The following is a 22,091-nucleotide window of genomic DNA, read 5'->3' on the forward strand; positions in this document are numbered from 1 at the left end:
ATAATATGGACTGAGTGTCATTTCCCCTGTCAGATAGCAAATACACCCCCTTCCTCTTGTAACCCGGTCAGGCCTAGGGTTCCTCCCTGAGTTCCAGAATAGGCCACCCAGTTGGGGCGGACCCTTAAGGCATTCTGGGCCCACGCCTGCCTATAAACCCTCATAGTGTGACCTTTGACCCCTGGTGTGATCTTGGGCCCGGGCTGGGACCAGCCCCTAGTGTGGGTTGTGGGGGCGGCCATGGAGCTGGGCAGCTGCTTCAAGACCTATGAGGACTTCAAGGAGTGCTTCAGCGCCTACAAAAGGGAGAACAGGTGCTCCTTCATTCTCAGGGACTGCGTCTCCGTCCGCTTCCACAACCTCAACCATGGCACCTCCATCCGCGAAGACATCCTGTAAGGGCGGGCGGGGCGGGGCGGGCCAAGAGGGTGGGGAGGAGGCTGGACCTCCGGAGGGCTGCCTGGAGGAGGAGGGGTGCATAGGCACGCATTGGGCTGCGTGGCCATTCATTCAACAGGCACTCATTGAGCACCTGCTGTGTGCCTTGTGAAGAGAGCTAAGCCTCCACGGCCATTGGTTTTTGACCACCCACTCCACTTTCACTCCATTCACAGGCTTTTCTGGAATTTATAACTGCAGTTTCTCCCATTGTTTTGAGCAGCTGCAGCAACCCAAATACAAAGTATGGCTTTCATAAACGGATAAAAACACCTTGGCGATAATTTCCTTCATCAGTCTCCTCTTTACAAAACAGTCACATGGTCGTTGGAATGTTCGTTCATTCATTCATTCAGTTTTTAGTTCTTATATATTTGTTGAAACAGGGTCTCACTCTGTCCCCCAGGCTGGAGTGCAGTGGCACAATCAGCTCACTGAGCCTTCAACTGCTGGGCTCAAGCGATCCTCCCACCTCAGCCTCTCAAGTAGTTGGAACTGGAGGTGCACGCCACCATGCCTGGCTAATTATTTGATTTTGTACAGACTGGGTCTTGTTATGTTGGCTAGGCTGTTCCCAGACTCCTGGACTAAGCGATCTTTCGGCGTCTCAAAGTGTTAGGATTACAGGCATGAGCCACTATGCCTGGTCTATTCATTCATTTTGTAAATGGTTTTTGAGCTCCTTATATTAACCGTTTTCAAACACTTTCCATGTGCCAGGCAGTGTTCTCTATGCATGCTTTACCCTGCAGGGCTTTTTTTTCAGAATTATAGATAAATGTTATTTTTTTGCATTTGACAGATGAGAAGATTTGACAGATGAGAAGTCAGGCTTAGAGGTTAAGACAGGAGTTGAAAACTCAAATGCCTTCAGGGATTAGGTGAAACAACCCAATGTAAGAAAGTTTTAACTTTGAATTTTACTTTAAGAAAAAGAATGATGAAATAGCAACCAACACCAGGTCTTTGTGCTAGGGACAACAGAAGTGTGAAATGGGCCAAATGGAGAGTAGATGCCATCTAATCAGCTCCAGCTGATGGCTGCCATATGAAAATAAAGATCTAGTGTTGCCAGAATTTTGGGCAAGAGTTGTCAGAAATCCACACTTTATGTGGATTTTCCCATTTAAAAAAATTGAATCAGTTCAAATTTTAACTCAGAGCATGCGGGCCAACTCAGAGTTAAAGCATATCCGAGTTTGAGACTTGGATTGAGATGCTCAACCAAAGCTCCTCAATTAGACAGCCAGGCTATATTCTTTCCACTGTTCTGAAGTCCAGTGCTATGCTGGGTATAGGTGACATAAAGATGAATAAGTGTTCAAACTATCCCCAGAGAACTAGGATAAACTTGAACTCAAGCAAACTGGTGTGTGATAAATGCTTTAAAAGGAATGTGGAAAAAAAAAAAAAAAAAGAAATGTACGGAGAAAGAAATGAATGACAAATGCCTGGGAGGTGGGGGAAGTCTTCACACTGGAATTGATGGTTTCCCTGGGCTGTGAATGAATGTAGAGTGCTAGAGTAGATCTGTGGTTAATTACTGAGTACCATGGAGGCATTTGACCAGAAGTTGCTGTGCAGAAGGACCTACAGGAGCAAAGACAAAGATACATGAAAGAAGGTTGGCATGTTAGAGTAACAGTGAGGGATACCATGTTTGGCAGGAGATGAAGTCATTTGCAGTCTAAGGGTCTTTAGGGACCATTGTGAGGTGTTTGGACCTTGTCCTTTATGGGTAGGACCTTGCTAAGCAATGAGAGGAATACAAAAAAAAAAAAAAAAAAAAAAAACCACAGTTGCCCGTAAACACCCTTCAGGAAGACCATCTCAGGTGGCTAGCACAAGGTGTGGCCCATAGCAGGCATTAAATAATTATTGAATGAGTGAGTTATCAAGTACTAACCATGTGATTCAGGGAAATAGGTGCTGCGGGAACTCAGAAGAGAAAAATCACTGCGAGCTAGAGACGTAAGAGTGAAAGGGAGGCTTGAGCTGGGCCCCCAAAGATGGAGAGCTGTCAGAAGGTGTATTGGTTTTCTGTTTGCCACTCTAGTGAATTACCACAAGTTTAATGGTGCAAAGCAACACAAATTTATTATCTTAGAGTTATTTAGGTTAGAAGTCAGGCACAGGTCTTAGCAGGCTAAATCAAGATGTCTGCAGGGCTGTATTTCTTTCTGGAGTCCCTGGGTAAGAATCCATTTCCCGCCGGGTGCAGTGGCTGATGCCTGTAATCCCAGCACTTTGGGAGGCCAAGGTGGGCAGATCACTTGAGGTCAGCAGTTCAAGACCATCCTGGCCAACATGGTGAAACCCCGTCTCTACTAAAAATACAAAAATTAGCTAGGCGAGGTGGCACATGCCCGTAATCCCAGCTACTCAGGAGGCTGAGGCAGCAGAATTGCAGCCGGGAGGTGGAGGTTGCAGTGAGCCAAGATCGTGCCATTGCACTCCAGCCTCGGCAACAGAGCGAGACTCCATCTCAAAAAAAAAAAAAAAAAAAAAAAAAGAATCCTTTTCCTTTCCTTTTCCACCTCCTAGAGGCTGCCCAACACACCTTGGGTCATGGCCCCCTTCCTCCATCTTCAAAGCCAGCAGTAGCAGGTTGAGTCATCACATCACTCTGACCTTGCTTCTGTCATCACGTCTCTGACTCCCTCTTCTGCCTCCCTCTTCCACTTTTAAGGATCCTTGTGATTATATTGGGCCCACCCAGATAATCCCAGATAATTTCCCTATTTTGAAGTCAGCTGATAGCCACCTTAATTCTATCTGCAACCTTAATTCTCCTTTGCCATGTAACCTAACGTATTCACAGAGTCTAGGATTAGGACAAGGACATCTTCAAGGGACCATTCTGCCTGCCACAAGAAGATTAATAACCTGGAGGTAAAAATGGTGTGAGTCAGTACAGACGTAAACATGACGTGCTTCTATTAGAAAACAGTGATGGGCTGGGCACGGTGGCTCACACTTGTAATCCTAATACTTTGGGAGGCTAAGACAGGGAGATTGCTTGAAATGAAGAGTTTGAGACCAGCCCAGACTATAATCCTGGGCAACAAAATGAGATCCCCGTCTCCACAAAACAAAATTTAAAATTAGGGGCCAGGTTGTGGCAGCTCACACGTATAATTCCAGCACTTTGGTAGGCTGAGGCAGGCAGATGGCTTGAGGCCAGGCATTCTAGACCAGCCTGGGCAACATGCCAAAACCTCATCTGTACAAAAAATACAAAAAGTAGCCAGGCATAGTGGTGTGTGCCTGTAGTACCAGCTACTCTGGAGGCTGCGGCAGGAGGATTGCTTGATCCCAGGAGTCAGAGGTTGCAGTGAGCTATGATCGCACCACTGCACACTACATTTTAGCCTGGGCAACAACAGAGTAAGATCCTGTCTCTAAAAAAAAAAAAAAAAGCAAGCAGTGATGTATGTTTGCACGCACATACAAAAGCCATGAGGAGACCTGCTTAGCTAGAAGGAAGGATTTATGCTGGAGCAGCAGGAAAGGAAATTGGAGGGTTGATAAGCAGGTTGGTGGGTTGGGATTTGTTTTGTTTGTTTTAGGAGACAAGGTCTCGCTCTATTGCCCAGGCTAGAGTACAGTGGGAGGGTCATAGTTTACTGTAACCTTGAAATCCTGGCCTCAAGTAATCTTACTACCTCAGCCTCCTAAGTAGCTAGGACTACAGGTATGCACCCCCATGCCAGGCTAATTTTTTTTTTTCAATTTTTTGTGTAGAGACAGGGTCTTGCCATGTTGCCCAGGCTGGTCTTGAACTCCTAGGCTCAAGCTGTCCTCCTGCCTCAGCCTCCCAAAGTGTTGGGATTACAGATATGAACCACCATGCTGGACCTGTTTTTGTTTTTGAAGGTGAACAATTTTAAAAGTGTTTTTGGGCCAGGCACAATTCAATCACTTGAACCCAGGAGGCGGAGGTTGCAGTGAGTCAAGATCATGCCACTACACTCCAGCCTGGGCGACACAGCGAGACTCTGTCTCAAAATAAATAAATAAAAAGTGTTTTTGTGTTTGAGTGGTTAACATAATTAAAAATATTTTCAAAAAGTACAGAAGGGACTAAAAGGGTCACCTCCACTGCATTAGCTTTTGGTTTTTTTTGGTTTTTTTTTTTTTTGAGAGATGGAGTTTCGCTCTGTCGCCAGGCTGGAGTGCAGTGGCGCGATCTTGGCTCCCCGCAACCTTTGACTCCCTGGTTCAAGCGATTCTCCTGCCTCAGCCTCCCAAGTAGCTGAGATTACAGGCACGCACCACCCCACCCAGCTAATTTTTGTATTTTTAGTAGAGACAGGGTTTCACCATGTTTGCGAGGAAGGTCTCAATCTCCTGACCCGGTGATCCACCCGCCTCAGCCTCCCCTGCTGGGATTACAGATGTGAGCCACCGTGCCCAGTCTGCATTATCTTTTTTATCTATTTATTTATTTCATTTTTATTTATTTACTTACTTACTTACTTATTTTGAGATGGAGTCTTGCTCTGTCACCCAGGCTGGAGTGCAGTGGTGCAATCTTGGCTCACTGCAACCTCTGCCTCCCGGGTTCAAGTGATTCTCCTGTCTCAGCCTCCCAAGGAGCTGAGACTACAGGCATGCACCACCACGCCTGGCTAATTGTTGTATTTTTAGTAGAGACAGGGTTTTGCCATGTTGGCTAGGCTGGTGTTGAACTCCTGACCTCAAGTTATACACCCATCTCAGCCTTCCAAAGGGCTGCGATTACAGCTGTGAGGTGCCACGCCCAGCCTATGTATTTATTTATTTTTATTTTTGTAGAGGTGAGGTCTCACTATGTTGCCCAAACTGATATTGAACTCCTAGGCTCAAGTGATCCTCCCTCCTCGGCCTTGGAAAGTGCTAGGATTACAGGCATGAGCCACTGTGCCTGGCCCACTGCATTATTATATAGAGGCAATCAGCGTTACCTTCCTGAGAGATACTGAGGCTGAACAAACATGTCTTGTATATGCATTTGCATCTTTTTGTTGTTTTAACACAAGTGGCAGCATGCTATTTAGACATAGCCTTCTGTACCTGCTGTACCTGGCTCTTCTCACTTACCAATATATCTTGGAAATTATGCCACCGTATGGGCAATTTGATTTGACTTTCATTGATTTCCTTGTTTTTTTTTTTGTTTGTTTGTTTGTTTTTTTGTTTGTTTTTTGCAGTTGTTAACTAAAAAGTTACTCCATGCTGGTGTCTGGAGATACGTTGTTGAAAAATATAAATTGAATCTCTGCTCTTGTGGAGACAAATACTAATCTATAATCACAGAAATAATAATTTCCTTAAAGTGGTAGTAGAGCTCCAAAGGAAAAACCCAGGGTGCCCTGTGGAGGGGTGATGGTGACACTTATTCTGATTGTCAGGAACAGGGTGGGGGTGCTGGTTGACACCCTAAACCAATGCAGGCTCTTGCTCAGAAAAAACTGTCAGCCCTGAGATTTTGCAGATACTTTACAAAGCACATTCACCTTTATTACCTGACCTGGTTCTCTGAATAACCTTGTCAGAGGCAAATTTTGCTGTTCCCACTAAATTAGTTAATACATGTAAAGTGCTTACAGCAGTGCCTTGTAGATGGAAAATAGTCCACAAATATTGTATTGTTTTACAGATGGGGAGACAGAGCCAGGAGAAGTCAAACATTAAGAGACAAATAGTTTAGGGCCAGGCGCAGTGGCTCATGCCTGTAATCCCAGCACTTTGGGAGACCAGGGCAGACAGATCACCTGAGGTCAGGAGTTCGAGACCAGCCAGGCCAACATGGTGAAACCCTTTCTCTACTAAAAATAAAAAAATTAGCCAGGCATGGTGGTACGTGCCTGTAATCCCAGCTACTCAGGAGGCTGAGGCAGGAGAATCACTTTAACCCAGGAAGAGGAGGCTGCAGTGAGCTGAGATGGCACCACTGCACTCCAGCCTGAGCAGCAGAGCGAGACTCTGTCTCAAAACAACAGCATAAATAACTGAAAATTAGACCCAGCCTATTTACTGACAGAGCTCTTAATTGTTGTACTTAGCCACTGGGCTCTAATAGTTTTCTAATGTCACTTGTCCATTTTTCCCTCAACAAACTTGTGGTAAGAGGCTAAGTGTTTACCATGGGCCAGGAGTACAAAGATGAGCTGGAGTACAAAGATGAGGAAATTGTAGGCTCCACCCCTGAGGACAATAGCGGACTGAGATAGCTTAGGAGGCGGTGAATTCATGAGCAGCACAGGTCTTTAGCAGAAACAAGTTGACTGCTGGTTGTGATGTTATAAAGGACATTCTTGGATCATTTATTGCAAACTGGCTCTGTGCAGAGCTCACTGTCTTGGGCTTTTTGAGTGATACGTGGGTGTCTTGGGGGACTGGAGGGTTGGTGGGGGAAATGTTTTTAGGAGGTAATTTAGTACATGTTTCTGCAGCCAAATACACATATTACTGGGTGGTCAGGTGAGATGATATTAATACTTATGTGAAAATGTAGACATAAAGTTCCTTGATAAGCAAAGTAAAGCAAGTGAACTAATTTAAAGAAAACCATTTACAGCTGGATGTTGCTCACGCCTATAATCCCAACACTTTGGGAGGTCGAGGCGGGCGGATCACTTAAAGTCGGGAGTTTGAGACCAGCCTGCCCGACATGGTGAAACCAACTCTACTAAAAATACATAAATTAGCCAGGCACGGTGATGGGCATCTATAATCCCAGCTACTCAGGGGGCTGAGGCAGGAGGATCCCTTGAACCCGAGAGGCGGAGGCTGCAGTGAGCTGAGATCACGCCACTGCACTCCAGCCTGGGTGACAGAGTGAGACTCCATCTCAAAAAAATTTTTGAAAATAATGGTGCAGGGCCGGGCGTGGTGGCTCACGCCTGTAATCCCAGCACTTTGGGAGGCCCAGGTGGGTGGATCATGAGGTCAGGAGATCAAGACCATCCTGGCTAACACGGAGAAACCCTGTCTCTACTAAAAATACAAAAAATTTATCCAGGCATGTAGCCGGGGCGCAGTGGCTCACACCTGTAATCCCAGCAATTTGGGAGGCCGAGGCGGGCGGATCACTTGAGGTCAGGAGTTCAAGACCAGCCTGGCCAACATGGCGAAACCCCATCTCTACTAAAAATACAAAGAATAGCTGGGTGTGGTGGCGCACACCTGCAATCCCAGCTACTTGGGAGGCTGAGGCAGGAGAATCGCTTGAACCTGGGAGGCAGAGGTTGCAGTGAGCCAAGATCATGTCATTGCACTCCAGCCTAGGCAACAAGAGCAAAACTCTGTCTCAAAAAAAAAAAAAAAAAAATTATCCAGGCCTGGTGGCGGGCGCCTGTAGTCCCAGCTACTCAGAAGGCTGAGGCAGGAGAATGGCGTGAACCCGGGAGGCGGAGCTTGCAGTGAGCCAAGATCGTGCCACTGTACTCCAGCCTGGGTGACAGAGTGAGACTCCATTTCAAAAAATAAAAAGAAAAGAATAGTGCAAATATTATATGGGTGGCTATGGCAGATGTAAAGGTGATTGGCAATTCTTTTTCTGGAAAAGCTGGCCCAAGGGTTAAAAGGAAGAGCTCTGGAGTGAAAGAGACTGCCTTTGCCCTTGACCTTGGGTAAAACTTAACCTCTTCACATAGTTTCATCCTTTACAAAATGAGAAGGGTGTGGCAATGATTAAGAAAAATTCAGGGCTGGGCGTGGTGGCTCATGCTTGTAATCCCAGCACTTTGAGAGGCCGAGGCGGGCAGATCACGAGGTCAGGAGATTGAGACCATCCTAGCTAACACGGTGAAACCCCATCTCTACTAAAAATACAATTAGCTGGGCGTGGTGGCAGGCGCCTGTAATCCCAGCTACTCCGGAGGGTGAGGCAGGAGAATTGCTGGAACCTGGGAGGCAGAGGTTGCAGTGAGCCGAGATCACGCCATTGCACTTCAGCCTGGATGACAGAGTGAGACTCTGTCTCAAAAAAAAAAAAAAAAGAAAAAGAAAAAAAAAATTCAGGCTAGGGGGCATGCCTGTTATCCCAGCACTTGGGAGGCCAAAGTGGGAGGATTGCTTGAGCCCAGGAGTTCAAGACCAGCCTGGCCAACATGGTGAAACCGTCTCTACTAAAAATACACAAATTAGTCGGGTGTGGTGGTGGGCACCTATAATCCCAGCTACTCAGGGGGCTGAGGCAGGAGGATCATTTGAACCCGGCAGAGGTTGCAGTGAGCTGAGATCTCACCACTGCACTCCAGTCTTGGTGACAGAGCGAGACTCCATCTCAAAAAATAAAATTGAAAATAATAGTGCAAATATTATATGGGTGGCTATGGCAGATGTAAAGGTCATTGGGAATTCTTTTTCTACAAAACTGGCCTAACGGTTAAAAGGAAGAGCTCTGGAGTAAAAAAGACCCCCCCTTGCCCTTGACCTTGGGCAAAACTTAACCTCTTGACACAGTTTCATCCTTTACAAAATGAGAAGGGTGTGGGGATGATTAAGGAAATTCAGGCTAGGGGCAGTGGCTCATGCCTGTAATCCCAGCACTTGGGAGACCAAGGTGGGAGGATTGCTTGAGCCCAGAAGTTCAAGACCGGCCTGGGCAACATAGCGAGACCCCATTTCTACAAAAAATAAATTAACTGGTCGTGGTGACATGTTCTTGTGGTCCCAGCTACTCAGGAGGCTGAAGCCGGAGGATCACTTGAGCCCAGGAGTTTGAAGCTACAGTGAGCCATGCTTGCACCACTGCACTCCTACCTGAGCAACAGAGACCCTGTCTCAAAAAAAGAGAGAAAGAAGAAAAGGAAAGGAAAATGCTCGTAGCACCTAAAACAGTGCTCAGTAAATGTTTGCTGAAGCTGTAACTATAGTATGTAGTAGAAAGTGGTAGTTATTTGAAAGAGAGTCAAAGATACGTGCTCTGGGAATTACCACTAAATGACCAAAAGTTCACGTCAAAAAAATAAAATCAGATCAAGTTAGAAATTTTTTTTTTTTTTTTTTTTTGAGACAGAATCTCACTCTTGTCACCCAGGCTGGAGTGCAGTGACGCTATCTCTGCTCACTGCAACCTCCGCCTTCCGAGTTCAAGCAATTCTCGTGCCTCAGCCTCCTGAGTAGCTGGGATTACAGGTGCCCGTCACCACGCCCAGCTAATTTTTGTAGTTTTAGTAGAGACAGGGTTTCACCATGTTGGGCAGGCTGGTCTCGAACTCCTGACCTCAAGTGATCCACCCACCTCAGCCTCCCAAAGTTCTGGGATTACAGGTGTGAGCCACCGCACCTGGCCAGAAAAAATTTTATTATGCACACAAAAGAACAGTTGGAGATTAGTCAGATGCTCCAGTCACTGTAGTGAGGGCAGTGTTAATAAAGCCTAAGGAAGGATTTTGACCTTTTTTGTGATTGGCTGTTATACATTAACAATCTGTTTACAGCCAGTAGAGCTGTTCAAACTGTTTTGTCTATAGTTGATTCCTTTAATTTTACTGAATTATGCTGACAAGGATGTAAAGCTTTGTGTTCTGTTTATGATTGATTAGAGCTACATTTCAGGGAATCAGGATATCTTAAATTCCGGCTATGTGGCTGTGGGCAGTTGGCCTTGGAGTATATCTAAACTGTGGCCTCCACTTTCATTTTTCTTGAAACATTGCTATCAACTGGGAAGAGTATGTGACTTTATGCCCAGTTTCCCCTCTCAGATTTTTATGACGGTTGTTTTTCTTTTTGTTATGCCATTTGAGGGATTGATGTTTCTTAAACTATGAAGTACTTGGCTGTCTCTCTCCATTGCTGTTCAGGTTAACAGCCACCATTTGTAAACACTTTGTTGGAGCTCATTCCTTCTCTGCTAGGAACTTTACAAGAATTGTCTCAATCCTACCACACCTTTGGCAGGACCCTTGTTATCAGAGTTTTCATTATCCATGTATCCATAGTTACAAGGCTATATAGAAAAGCAAAAGTCATCACACAAGAATCTTGCTAACAAACTACTTATAAAATTAGTCACTACTTAACCATCCCTCTGCTTATCCCTGCCAGTCCCATTAACATGTTTGGTAGTCAATTTCTGGCTGATGAAGAGATACATTAAGCATCAAGGTAATGCAAATGTAAATAAAACTGACTGTAGACTGAAATGGCACATCTCCCAAAACTTGTAGGACTAGGCGAAATCCCTGCAAGTGATGATAGAAAACCTTCAGCCTTATACCAGTTAACAAAGGAAGAAGGGAAATCAACAAAGATGATGAGATGGTAAAAACTTGAAAAGTAGAGGATTTGCCTAGGAAAAATTAAGCCCTTCGGAAACTTAGTAAAGCTAAGGAATATTTTGGCAAAACCATCTTTTGTATGTTGCAAAAGTGAGACAGGAAATGAAGTATAGTGTTTGGGAATTTTTTTTTTTTGAGATAGAGTCTTGCTCTCCTGTCCAGGCCGGAGTGCAGTGGTGCGACCTTGGCTCACTGCAGCCTCAGCCTCCTGAGTAGCTGGGATTACAGGCATGCGCCACCACACCCGGCTAATTTTTGTATTTTTAGTAGAGACAGGGTTTCACCATGTTGGCCAGGCTGGTCTTGAACTCCTGACCTCAGGTGATCCACTCGCCTCGGTCTCCCAAAGTGTTGGGATTACAGGCATGAACCACTGCACCTGGCCTAGTGTTTGGGAAAACTATACTAGGAAAAGAATAGTTGCTTTAAGTCATTCTTTGATTATTCTGAGAATTGGCATATAGCTGCCATTATAACCTACTTTTGCTAAATATAATAATAATAATCATTATTTTTATTTTTTGAGACAGGGTCTTGTTTTGTCACCCCGGCTGGAGTGAAGTGGCGCAATCTCGGCTCACTGCAACCTCCACCTCCGGGTGCAAGCAATTCTCCTGCCTCAGCCTCTTGAGTAGCTAGGATTACAGGCACAAGCCATCATGCCCAGCTAATTTTTGTATTTTTAGTAGAGACAGGGTTTCACCATGTTGGTCAGGCTGGTCTTGAACTCCTGACCTCAGGTGATCCACCCGCCTCGGCCTCCCAAAGTGCTGGGATTACAGGCGTCAGCCACTGTGCCCGGCCCTGCTAAATATAATATTAACTTTATAATTTTAGTCTCATTTTCCACCCAGATCTTGTTTATCACTATCTGGGTGGTAGTGATAAAGTTCCACCCAGATCTTGTTTATCACTATTCCCTATGAAATGTTTCTGGGTGGCCGGGCGCAGTGGCTCATGCCTATAATCCTAGCAATTTGGGAGGCCAAGACAGGTGGATTGCTTGAGGCCCGGAGTTCAAAACCAGCCTGGCCACATGGTGAAACCCTGTCACTACTAAAAATACAAAAAATTAGCCAGGCATGATGGTGGGCGCCTGTAATCCCAGCTACTCGGGAGGCTGAGGCAGGAGAATCACTTGAATCTGGGAGGCAGGGGTTGCAGTGAGGCGAGATCATGCCACGGCACTCCAGACTGGGCAATAAGAGCAAAACTCCGTCTCAAAAGAAAAAAAAAAGAAATGTGTCTGGGTATGTTTTTGGCTGCAATTAGCTGAAAACCCTGACTCAAAATGGCTTATTGCAGATACTTAGAAGCCCAGAGGTGGGCCTCCAAAGGTCATTGTCTCAGTGGCCTGGACTCTGCATTTTTCCACTCTGCCATGTTCAGGTCTCAGCTTTGTCCTTAGGAAGGCTCCCCATGTGGCACAAATGCAGGAGTCACATCCAGAAGAAGAAGCCTTTCTTGCCGGGCGTGGTGGCTCACACCTGTAATCCCAGTGCTTTGGGAGGCTGAGGTGGGTGGATCACGAGGTCAGGAGTTCAAGACCAGCCTGGCCAACATGATGAAACCCCCATCTCTACTAAAACTACAAAAATTAACCAGGCGTGGTGGCGGGCACCTGTAATCCCAGCTACTCGGGAGGCTAAGCCAGGAGAATCGCTGGAACCCAGGAGGCGGAGGTTACAGTGAGTCGAGATCTTGCCACTGCACTCCAGACTGGGCAACAGGGCAAAACTCCGTCTCAAGAAAAAAAAAAAAAAAAAGAAAAGGCCAAGCGTGGTGGCTGTAATCCTAGCACTTTGGGAGGCTAAGGCAGGCAGATCACGAGGTCAGGAGTTTGAGACCAGCCTGACCAACATGGTAAAACCCTGTCTCTACTAAAAATACAAAAATTAGCCGGGCACGGTAGCATGCCTGTAGTCCCAGCTACTCGGGAGGCTGAGGCAGGAGAATCGCTTGAACCCGGGAGGCGGAGGTTGCAGTGAGCCAAGACCGTGCCAGTGCATTCCAACCTGGGTGACAGAGGGAGACTCCGTCTCAAAAAAAAAAAAGCCTTCCTTGGTTTCCTGCCAATTTCCTGTCATGTTTCTTTGTCCCGAATTGGGCCAATATCCATGCCCATTCCTAATACAATTACCTTAATTGACTTAGATTAGCCCTGAAGCATGTAGTGATGTGGGGGAGGAATGACAACTGAAGAAAATAGAAAAGAAGGGACAAAGGTTGTTGAGTTGGCAACCAACAATTCCTGTTATAGCTTTTTAAATTAATTCACTTTAAGTGGTACTGATTATTCATATTGTTATTTCCATGTATAGAGAGAGAAGAAATTGGAGGCTTAGAGGAAGTGAAGTGACTTGTCCAAGGTCACATAGCTAAGTGGAATTTATTTTTTTTTTTTTTACTTTTCTGAGACAAAGTCTCACTCTGTCGCCCAGGCTGGAGTGCAGTGGCGTGATCTTGACTCACTGCAACCTCTGCCTCCTGGGTTCAAGTGATTCTTCTGCCTCAGCCACCCGAGTAGCTGAGATTACAGGTGTGCACCAGCATGCCCGGCTAATTTTTTGTATTTTTAGTAGAGATGGAGTTTCTCCATGTTGGCCAGGCTGGTCATGAACTCTTGGCCTCAAGTGATCCACCTACCTTGGCCTCCCAAAATGCTAGGATTACAGGTGTGAGCCACGGCGCCCAGCTACTGGAAGTCATGATGCAAGCTGTTGTTTGAATCATGAATTCCAAACTTAATGAGTGCTAGGTTGAAGTTATTTTTTTTCTGTTTCCCTTAATCTTCTATTGAGATATAACATGTATTGAAGCACAGACATCTTTTGCAAGAATTCATTGAGCACTATAGTTATATTCATCTGTACTTACTGTCTCCCTGGTAAAGGCATAAACTCCCTTCAAGATGGGGACATGGTTTTATACTTTCCTGAATCTCCTTTAGTGCTTATATCTAACAGCACTTAACCAGGATCTGGAGGGGGTCAACCAGTCTTGCTTCCTTCCAATCTACTCTGTAGATGTTTGTGTTTTTCTACTGTAACTATAGAGGTAAAGGAGCCAATGGTGTTTCCAGTGTCTGGCACATAATAGGTGCTCTATGAATGTCAAATGAATGACTGAGGCATAAAAAGTTCTTCCTATGACATAAGTAGTATAATAGGAAGATCACTGGGATAGAATTTTCTTAGAAGACGTGGCTCCTAGTCCTAGCACTATTACTCTTACTGACTATAACTTTGGACAAGTCATTTGTTTAATTTCAAACATTTACTGAATTCTGTGTACCAAATACTGTACAAGTTGTTCAAAAGGCTACAGAGTCTCTACTCTCAAAGTCTAGTCAGGGGAGAGATTACACAGGAGTGAAACCCCATCTCTACTAAAAAAAAAAAAAAGAAAGAAAAAAATAGCCAGGCATGGTGGCAGGCACCTGTAATCCCAGCTCTTGGGAGGCTGAGGCAGAAGAATTGCTTGAACCCAGGAGGCAGAGGTTGCAGTGAGTCAAGATCACACTACTGCACTCCAGCCTGGGCAACAGAACGAATATCTGTCTCAAAGAAAAAAAAAAAAAGAAAAAAAAAGTATGTTTAGAGATCCTTAAGGAAGTTTTGAACCTATCCAATATGTTGGGAGTCAAGATGAGGAGGGTAAAAGTAGGAATTCAGAGAAAGGATAAATATTTTGAAGGAAGGCAGCATAATGGTTAACTAGTCAGACTGCAGACAAACAAGCAGTACAAATCCCATGTTCCCAGGTCTTAGCTGGAGGATTAAATCCCAGATTCTCATCCTTGAGAACCTCTTTAAGCTTGTTTTCCCATCTGTAAAATGTAGATGATAATAGAATCCTTTTCCTACTGTAAAATGATGCACATTGGGGGCTTCATGTAGCCAGATATATAATAAATCCTCAATACATGTAGCAGTGGTAGGGGAGAACTAAAAGACTTGTTAACATATTGGATGTAGGTGAGAAAGAAGAATCAAAAAGAATATCCAGGTTCCCGCCCTGGGAGGGGCAGACATAAATGGAGCCAGGAATGGTACAAGGAGCTTTGTGGTGGGCACTCACTAGTACCTTTCTTTGGAATAGCTCAACAAATGTTCACTAAGTACACATAAAGTCAATATAACTTGATGAGCTAGAGTTAGGCTAAGATGTTGAGTTAGCAGAAGAGTAGTACCCAACTAAGGGCTTGAGGAAGGCTTCCTAGAAAAGATAATGGGTGCACGTAGTCCTGAAGGATGAGCAAGGCTTGCGAGGAGGGAAGGTAGGAAGGGCATTCCAGACAAAGGGACAAACATGCACAAAGGTGAGACAGAGCATGGTGAACACACAAAGTTGTAGGCATTTTGTCTTTCTAGGACACAAAAAACAAGGTGATGAAAACAAGGCTGGAGAGACAAGCGGAGACCACAAGTGGTCACCCCTCACTGGCCTCGCTGTACTACTGGACTGCTCCAGCCCTTCCTGGCCCAGAGCTAGAGATGGCACCACCCCCGCACTGTGCACACAATAGGTACAGACACTCTCAGCCCCAAACCCCTCCAGCCTGTTACTGTGAGACTCACACATCCTGTTTTCCCAAGCTTGCCCCACAGGGTGAGCAAACTGGACCAGCTGGATTAGAGTATTTGGAAAAGTGCAGGTGGAGTTTCTAGGCTATGCCACGTCAGGCCAGGGGGTGAGATTTTTTTCCCTTCCCCTGGTCTTTGGGCTGGGGCACTCCCTGAGGAGGGAGGGGTGTGACCCATCCCACCCATTGGTGGTCCATGATCCATTCATCCAGTACATCATCCATAAGCATCTGCTGAGCCGGGCGCAGTTGCTCACGCCTGTAATCCCAGCACTTTGGGAGGCCGAGGTGGGCGGATCATCTGAGGTCAGGAGTTCAAGACCAGCCTGGCCAACATGGTGAAACCCCGTCTCTACTAAAAATACAAAATTTGCCGGGCATGGTGGCGCATGCCTGTAATCCCAGCTACTCGGGAGGCTGACACAGGAGAATCGCTTGAACTCAGGAGGCAGAGGTTGCAGTGAGTCGAGATCGAGCCATCGCACTCCAGCCTGGGCAACAAGAGTGAAACGCCATCTCAAAAAAAAAAGCATCTGCTGAAGGCACAGTATTGTGTTAGAGGCTTGGACTACCCTGAGGAATAATAGTCCTGACACTTGAGGACATCCCCATCCAATTGGAAAGGCACTGGATAAACATCTAAGAAAATGTCACAAGGCATAAAAGCTGTAATAATAATAGCTAACTTGTATTTAGGGTAAACAAAAGGCTGAATCAGGCTTTGGACTAAATATTTTGCCTGTGGCTCATTTAATCTTAATAACAACCATAAGATTATCTCATTTTATGATGAGGAAACTGTATACAGAGAGGTGATTGACTTGCCTAAGGTTGAACAGCTTATGAGTAGTAGAGCCAGTATTCAAATCCAGTCAGCCTCCAGTGTCCCCTCTCTTTAGTCATTAGATATAGTGCTACCCAGAGAATCTGCTAAGCCTTATAGATAAATGCTATGAATTCAGAGGCAGGAGCAATTACTGTGGCTTGGGGGCATCCACAAAGACTTTCTAAGGTGGTGACACCTGATTTGGGCCTTGAAACTGGTTGAATAGAGATAAGAAAAGAACAGATAATCAATTTAACTGCCGTTGTGTTTTGAATCATCACTTTAAGCCTAGAATGACAAAGCTGGAAAAGACCCTAAATATCATCTAGCCCAGTGGTTATCAAATTTTCTTAGGATGTGGACATTTTTCTTTAAATGAAACATGAGTAGAAGCCAGATGCAGTGGCTCATGCCTGTAATCCCAACTACTTGGGAGGCTAAGGTGAGAGGATTGCTCAAGCCCAGAAGTTGGACACCAACCTGGGCAACGGTGAGACCTTGTCTCAAAAAAGAAAGAAAGAGGCCGAGGGCGGTGGCTCACGCCTGTAATCTCAGCACTTTGGGAGGCTGACGCGGGTGGATCACTTGAGGTCAGGGGTTCGAGACCAGCCTGGCCGACATGGTGAAACCCTGACTCTACTGAAAATACAAAAATTAGTCAGGTGCAGTGCTGCATGCCTGTCATCCCAGCTACTCGAGAGGCTGAGGCAGGAGAATCGCTTGAACCCCAGAGGTGGAGGTTGCAGTGAGCTGAGATTACACCACTACACTCCAGCCTGGGTGACAGAGTGAGACTTTAATTTCAAAAAGAAAGATGAGCAGTAATCTTGTCTCTTAAAAAGGAGGACCAAACATTCCCTAGCCCCAAAACATTCCCTGAAAAGTTCAGTTGAGAACCACTGATCTAGTCCAATGTCCTGGGATCCTCGCTTTTATCTTTGCTATCTGGAGAAGGAAGAGACAGCGGTAGTTCCCAAAAGACACAAACAATGGGGACATTTTAAACGGGAGTAACCAGCTAAGCACTCTGCTGCTGCTGCTTGTCTATTTGCCCTCTTGTCCTGCCTCAGGGTGAATTGTTGGCAGCTACAAATGGCAACCAAGAGAGAATGGAGTTGGGGCTTAGAAGTGCGGTAGAGGAATATGAAGGGGGCTGGAGTTGGAGAGGCTCTTAAAGAAAGAGCTGACTATATTGGGACTGGAGAGTTAATGTAAATCTCTTCTTGGTTCATGGGGATTTTGTTGTTATTGTTTTTTTCCCCATGACACAACTCTCAGGAGATCCTGAGAACACGTGCCCTGATTTGGGGGGGGTTTTAATTTTAACTTTTTTTTTTTTTTTTTTTTTTTGACAGAGTCTCACTCTGTCACCCAGGCTGGAGTGCGGTGGCGCCATCTTGGCTCACTGCAAGCAAGCTCCGCCTCCCGGGTTCACGCCATTCTCCTGCCTCAGCCTCCCAAGTAGCTGGGACTACAGGCGCCTGCCACCACACCCAGCTAATTTTTTGTATTTTTAGTAGAGACGGGGTTTCACTATGTTAGCCAGAATGGTCTCGATCTCCTGATCTCGTGATTCACCCGCCTCGGCCTCCCAAAGTGGTGGGATTACAGGCGTGAGCCACTGTACCTGGCCAAAATTTTTTTTTAATTAGAGACAGTCTCTTGCTGTGTTGCCCAGGCTGATCTCAAGCAGTCCTCCCACCTTGGCCTCCCAAAGTGCTGGGATTACAGGCGTAAGCTATAGCACCCAGCCTTCCTTCTTTCCTTAATTCTATTTTTTTTTTTGTTTGTTTGTTTATTTGTTTGCTTTTGAGATGGGGTCTTGCACTGTTGCCTGGGCTGGAGTACAATAGCGTGATCTCGGCTCCCTGCAACCTCTGCCTCCCAGGTTCAAGGGATTCTCCTGCCTCAGCCTCCCGAGTAGCTGGGATTACAGGTGCCTGCCACCATGCCTGGCTAATTTTTTGTATTTTTAACAGAGACAGGGTTTCACTATGTTGGCCAGGCTAGTCTCAAACTCCTGACCTTGTGATCTGCCCTCCTTGGCCTCCCAAAGTGCGGGGATTACAGGCATGAGCCACCATGCCCAGCCTTCCTTAATTCTATTAATATATGAATCCTTTTCTTTTTTTTAAAAAAAAGAGATAGACTCTTGATCTGTTGCTTAGGCTGGAGTGCAGTGGCACAAATCAGAGCTAACTGCAGCCTCAAACTCCTGAGTTCAAGCAATCCTCCAGCCTCAGCCTCCCGAGTAGTTGGGACCACAGTTGGGAACCACTACACTTGGCCCTACTACGGGTTTTTCCTGTTTGTTTGTTTTTTGTTTTTTTGTTTTTTTGTTTTTTTGTTTTGAGACGGAAGTTTGCTCTCGTTGCCCAGGCTGGAGTGCAATGGCGCGATCTCAGCTCACTGCAGCCTCCGCCTCCCGGGTTCAAGCGATTCTCCTGCCTCAGCCTCCCGAGTAGCTGGGACTACAGGCATGCACTACCATGCCCGGCTAATTTTGTATTTTTAGTAGAGTCGGGGTTTCTCCATGTTGGTAGTCAGGCTGGTCTTCAACTCCTGACCTCTGGTGATCCGCCCATCTCGGTCTCCCAAAGTGCTGGGATTACAGGTGTGAGCCACCGCGCCCAGCTGTTTGTTTTTTTGAGATAGGGTCTCACTCTGTTGCCCAGGCTGGAGTGCAGTGGCATGAACATGGCTTACTGCAGCCTTAACTTCCCAGGCTCAAGCGATCCTCCCTTCTCTGCCTCCTGAATAGCTGGGACCACAGGAATACACCACCACACCTGGCTGATTTTTAAATTTTTTGTAGAGCCAGGGTCTCTCCATGTTGCCCAGGCTGGTCTCAGACTCCTGGGCTCAAGTGATCCTCCCACCTCAGCCTCCCAAAGTGCTGGGGTTATAGGCATGAGCCACTGTACCCAGCCCCCTTCAGGGTCTTATCTTTATAAGGGGTGGGGGGTGGTCAGCACCTTTCTCATTGTTACCTCTACCTTCCCTAGGTATGTGCAGGTGAAATTTGTCTGCATTCGGACCCAATCAAACAGGAAGAGAACGCGGGAGGCAGACATGTGCCCAGCGTACTTGCTCCTAAGGTACAACGAGAGACTAGATAGACTATTTATCAGTGAACTAAACACACAGCACATACATGGTGACTCTAAAGTGGCTAGTCCTGGAGGAGACACCACTGGCAAATCTCAAAAGACAATGTGCCTGCAGAGACTCCAGCCTGTGCAGCCCACAACCAAAAAAGACCTTGACACTGCCGAGAAGTCCCTGGTTGAGCCATCGTTTTGCCTAGATAAGGTACAAGTGTCCTCAAAGCCAGAGCAGGAAGGCATCACTCCTTCTGACCTGGCCAAGATAGCAAAAGTGATGAAGAACTTTCTTAAGGTAGATGAGGGTTCCATGGCTTCCTTCAGTGTGGGTGACAGCCAGCACCTGGACCGGCTCAGCTTCCAGAGCAGTAAGATGACCGACCTGTTCATCCGCTTCCCAGAGAATCTCTTGCTACACCGGGTGGAGAACACCCAGGGCCACATCCTCTATGCTTTCTTGGTGGAGAACAAGGAACGAGAAAGTCGAGTGGTGCACTTTGCTGTGCTCAAGGCGGAGACAGTCACCTCTGTGGCCAAGATGCTGAGCATCTTCACAGAGTTCAACTCCGATTGGCCCAAGGTCAAGGTGGTCTTTGTGGACCCTTCATTCCATTACCGGGCTATCCTGCAGGAGATCTTTCCTGCTGCCCGCATCCTCCTTTCCATCTACCACACAACCCGACTCTTGGAGAAGAAGTTGCATCGTAGTTCAGCAAATCCATCCTTTAAAAGGCTCATGAAGGAAGCCCTGCGGGAGGCCGTGTTTGTCACTTCTGAAGCCAGCCTGAAAAATCTCTGCCAGATGTCCCAGGCCGTACTGGATGAGGATCTCTTCAACTTCCTGCAGGCCCACTGGTTCACCTGTGAACTGCTGTGGTACATGCATGTTAGGAAGGGCCTGCTTGCGTGTAACACCTACATGGACAGCCTAGACATTGTCACCAGCAAGGTGTCAAGCCTCTTTCGGGAACAGCAGTCGCTGCTGGACTGCATCCTCTGCTTTGTGGATTACATAGACTTCTTTAATACCAAAGGCTTGAAGAACTTGCCCACACCTCCTCCCAAATTAAAGAGAGCTCGGCCGGCAAGCATGCCACTGAAGTCCAAGAAGGCTTTTGGAATCTGTGGAGAGAGCCTTACCAGCCTCCCTGCAGAAGAGACCAAGCCAGACGCACAGCAGGTACAGGTACAGCAGCAGTCACAAGTGCCGCCCTCGCAGGTTGGCATGCTGGACACCTTGCACCAGAGTGGCTCTGAACTAGCCTACAAGCTGTGCCACAATGAGTGGGAGGTGGTACAGAACTCCACCCACCTGGTGGACATGGCTGGCTCTTCAGTGGACGTTCAGCTGCTAGAGGACTCTCACCAGGTTAGCAAAGATGGCTGTAGCTGCAGCTGTTCCTTTCAACAATGGTACCACCTGCCATGCCGACACATTTTGGCTCTGCTGCACACCAGCCAGCAGCCGGTTGGTGAAGCCATGGTGTGCCGCCGGTGGCAGAAGAAGTACCAGTACCTCCTTGGGCCCAATGGGGAGCTCCAGGATCGTGGTATGGTCCCAAACACAGGCCAGCCTGAGAAGCAAGGACGGAACGACATGATTCAGGACCTAAGCAGGGAGTTAGCAAACCTGCTCATGCAGACCGAGGGGCCAGAGCTGGAGGAACGCTACTCCACCCTGCGCAAGATTGTGGATATCTGGGCTGGCCCCTCCCAGCCATCTGAGCTCTTTCAGCAGCCAGGAGACTTTAAGGACGTGGGCCGCCTCCCTTTCCTCTGGGGAAAGCAAGAAGAAGGGGAGGGATTCCCTCCTGCTACAGCTGTGATGCATTATTGAAGCACTTTAGCTGAAGCATTGGACCACAAACACTTCTCCTTGGAAGTGTGAGAGTTTAAAGTGGGCAGGACATACTAGGGTTTAGCATTTTAGCCAATGTCTTCCTAGGTGGGGCTAGGAATATTGTTACAGTAGAGAGGAAGGGAACTCCACTGTGTGACAGTCCTTTCAATCTGCCCCTTTTCAGCCCTACTTTTGGCATTCCTTGGGAGCCTCAGTTGTTGTTCAAGGCCAAAGTTATCTCCGTGCTGCAAGGTCACCCTCTTCCTCCCCCAGCCCCTGAGATCAGATCTTATTTGCTCTGCAAAGATGAATCCCTGCCTCAGGTTAGGGTGAGACAAAATCGGTCTGGTAAAAGGGCCTGTTTTCAGGGACAAAGGGAATGAGGATGATCTTTGGCTGTTGCTGCTCTTTATGAAGAATCTTATTTGTAACTTTTTATTCATATTAAAGTTGTTTTTAATAAAATTAAACAAGGGAAATGTGTTCTGCTTGATCAGGGAAGGAAGAGGAATTGCATAGCAATAGGACTCGACTTTACAGTTAGGAAGTGGCTGCTCTAGGTGGATTTATTAATTTTAAAGAAAATTGAGGCCAGGCGCAGTGGCTCACACTCATAATCCCAGCACTTTGGGATGTCGAGGCGGGTGGATGGATCATCTGAGGTCAGGAGTTCGAGACCAGCCTGGCCAACATGGCGAAACCCTGTTCTACTAAAAATACAAACATTAGCCAGGCGTGGTGGCGCACCTGTAATCCCAGCTTCTTGGGAGGCTGAGGCAGGAGAATCGCTTGAACCCAGGAGGCGGAGGTTGCAGTGAGCCTAGATCGTGCCACCGCACTCCAGCCTGGGTGACAGAGTGAGACTCTATCTCAAGCAAAAAACAACAACAAAAAAAAAAGAAAAGAAAATTAAGTATTAGCAACCTAATGGGGTTGTGGAGCCAAATAGAACCTGATGCCTCACATTCAAGGATTTGGCAATCTGCGTCTTAATTTGCCTCCTTCCTACAACTAAGCCTTCAAG

General features: G+C 46.6%; 1 protein-coding gene across 2 annotated transcripts; it reads left to right on the top strand.

The window, feature by feature from the left end:
- The first annotated feature begins 28 nt into the window (after positions 1-28).
- Positions 29-21,537, top strand: ZSWIM3 (zinc finger SWIM-type containing 3). Of its 2 annotated transcripts, NR_037628.2 has the most exons (3): positions 29-395; positions 15,086-15,240; positions 19,129-21,537. NR_037628.2 is itself a non-coding variant. In NM_080752.4 (2 exons), exons 1-2 carry the CDS (start codon positions 241-243, stop codon positions 21,062-21,064), a joined length of 2,091 nt encoding a protein of 696 aa, NP_542790.2. In that variant the 5' UTR covers positions 29-240; the 3' UTR covers positions 21,065-21,537. The 2 variants fall into 2 exon arrangements, 1 of the variants encoding a protein (NP_542790.2); NM_080752.4 differs by lacking the exon at positions 15,086-15,240.
- Positions 21,538-22,091: the final 554 nt, after the last annotated feature.

This window comes from Homo sapiens, chromosome 20, assembly GCF_000001405.40.
Source record: "Homo sapiens chromosome 20, GRCh38.p14 Primary Assembly".
Classification (NCBI taxonomy): domain Eukaryota; kingdom Metazoa; phylum Chordata; class Mammalia; order Primates; family Hominidae; genus Homo; species Homo sapiens.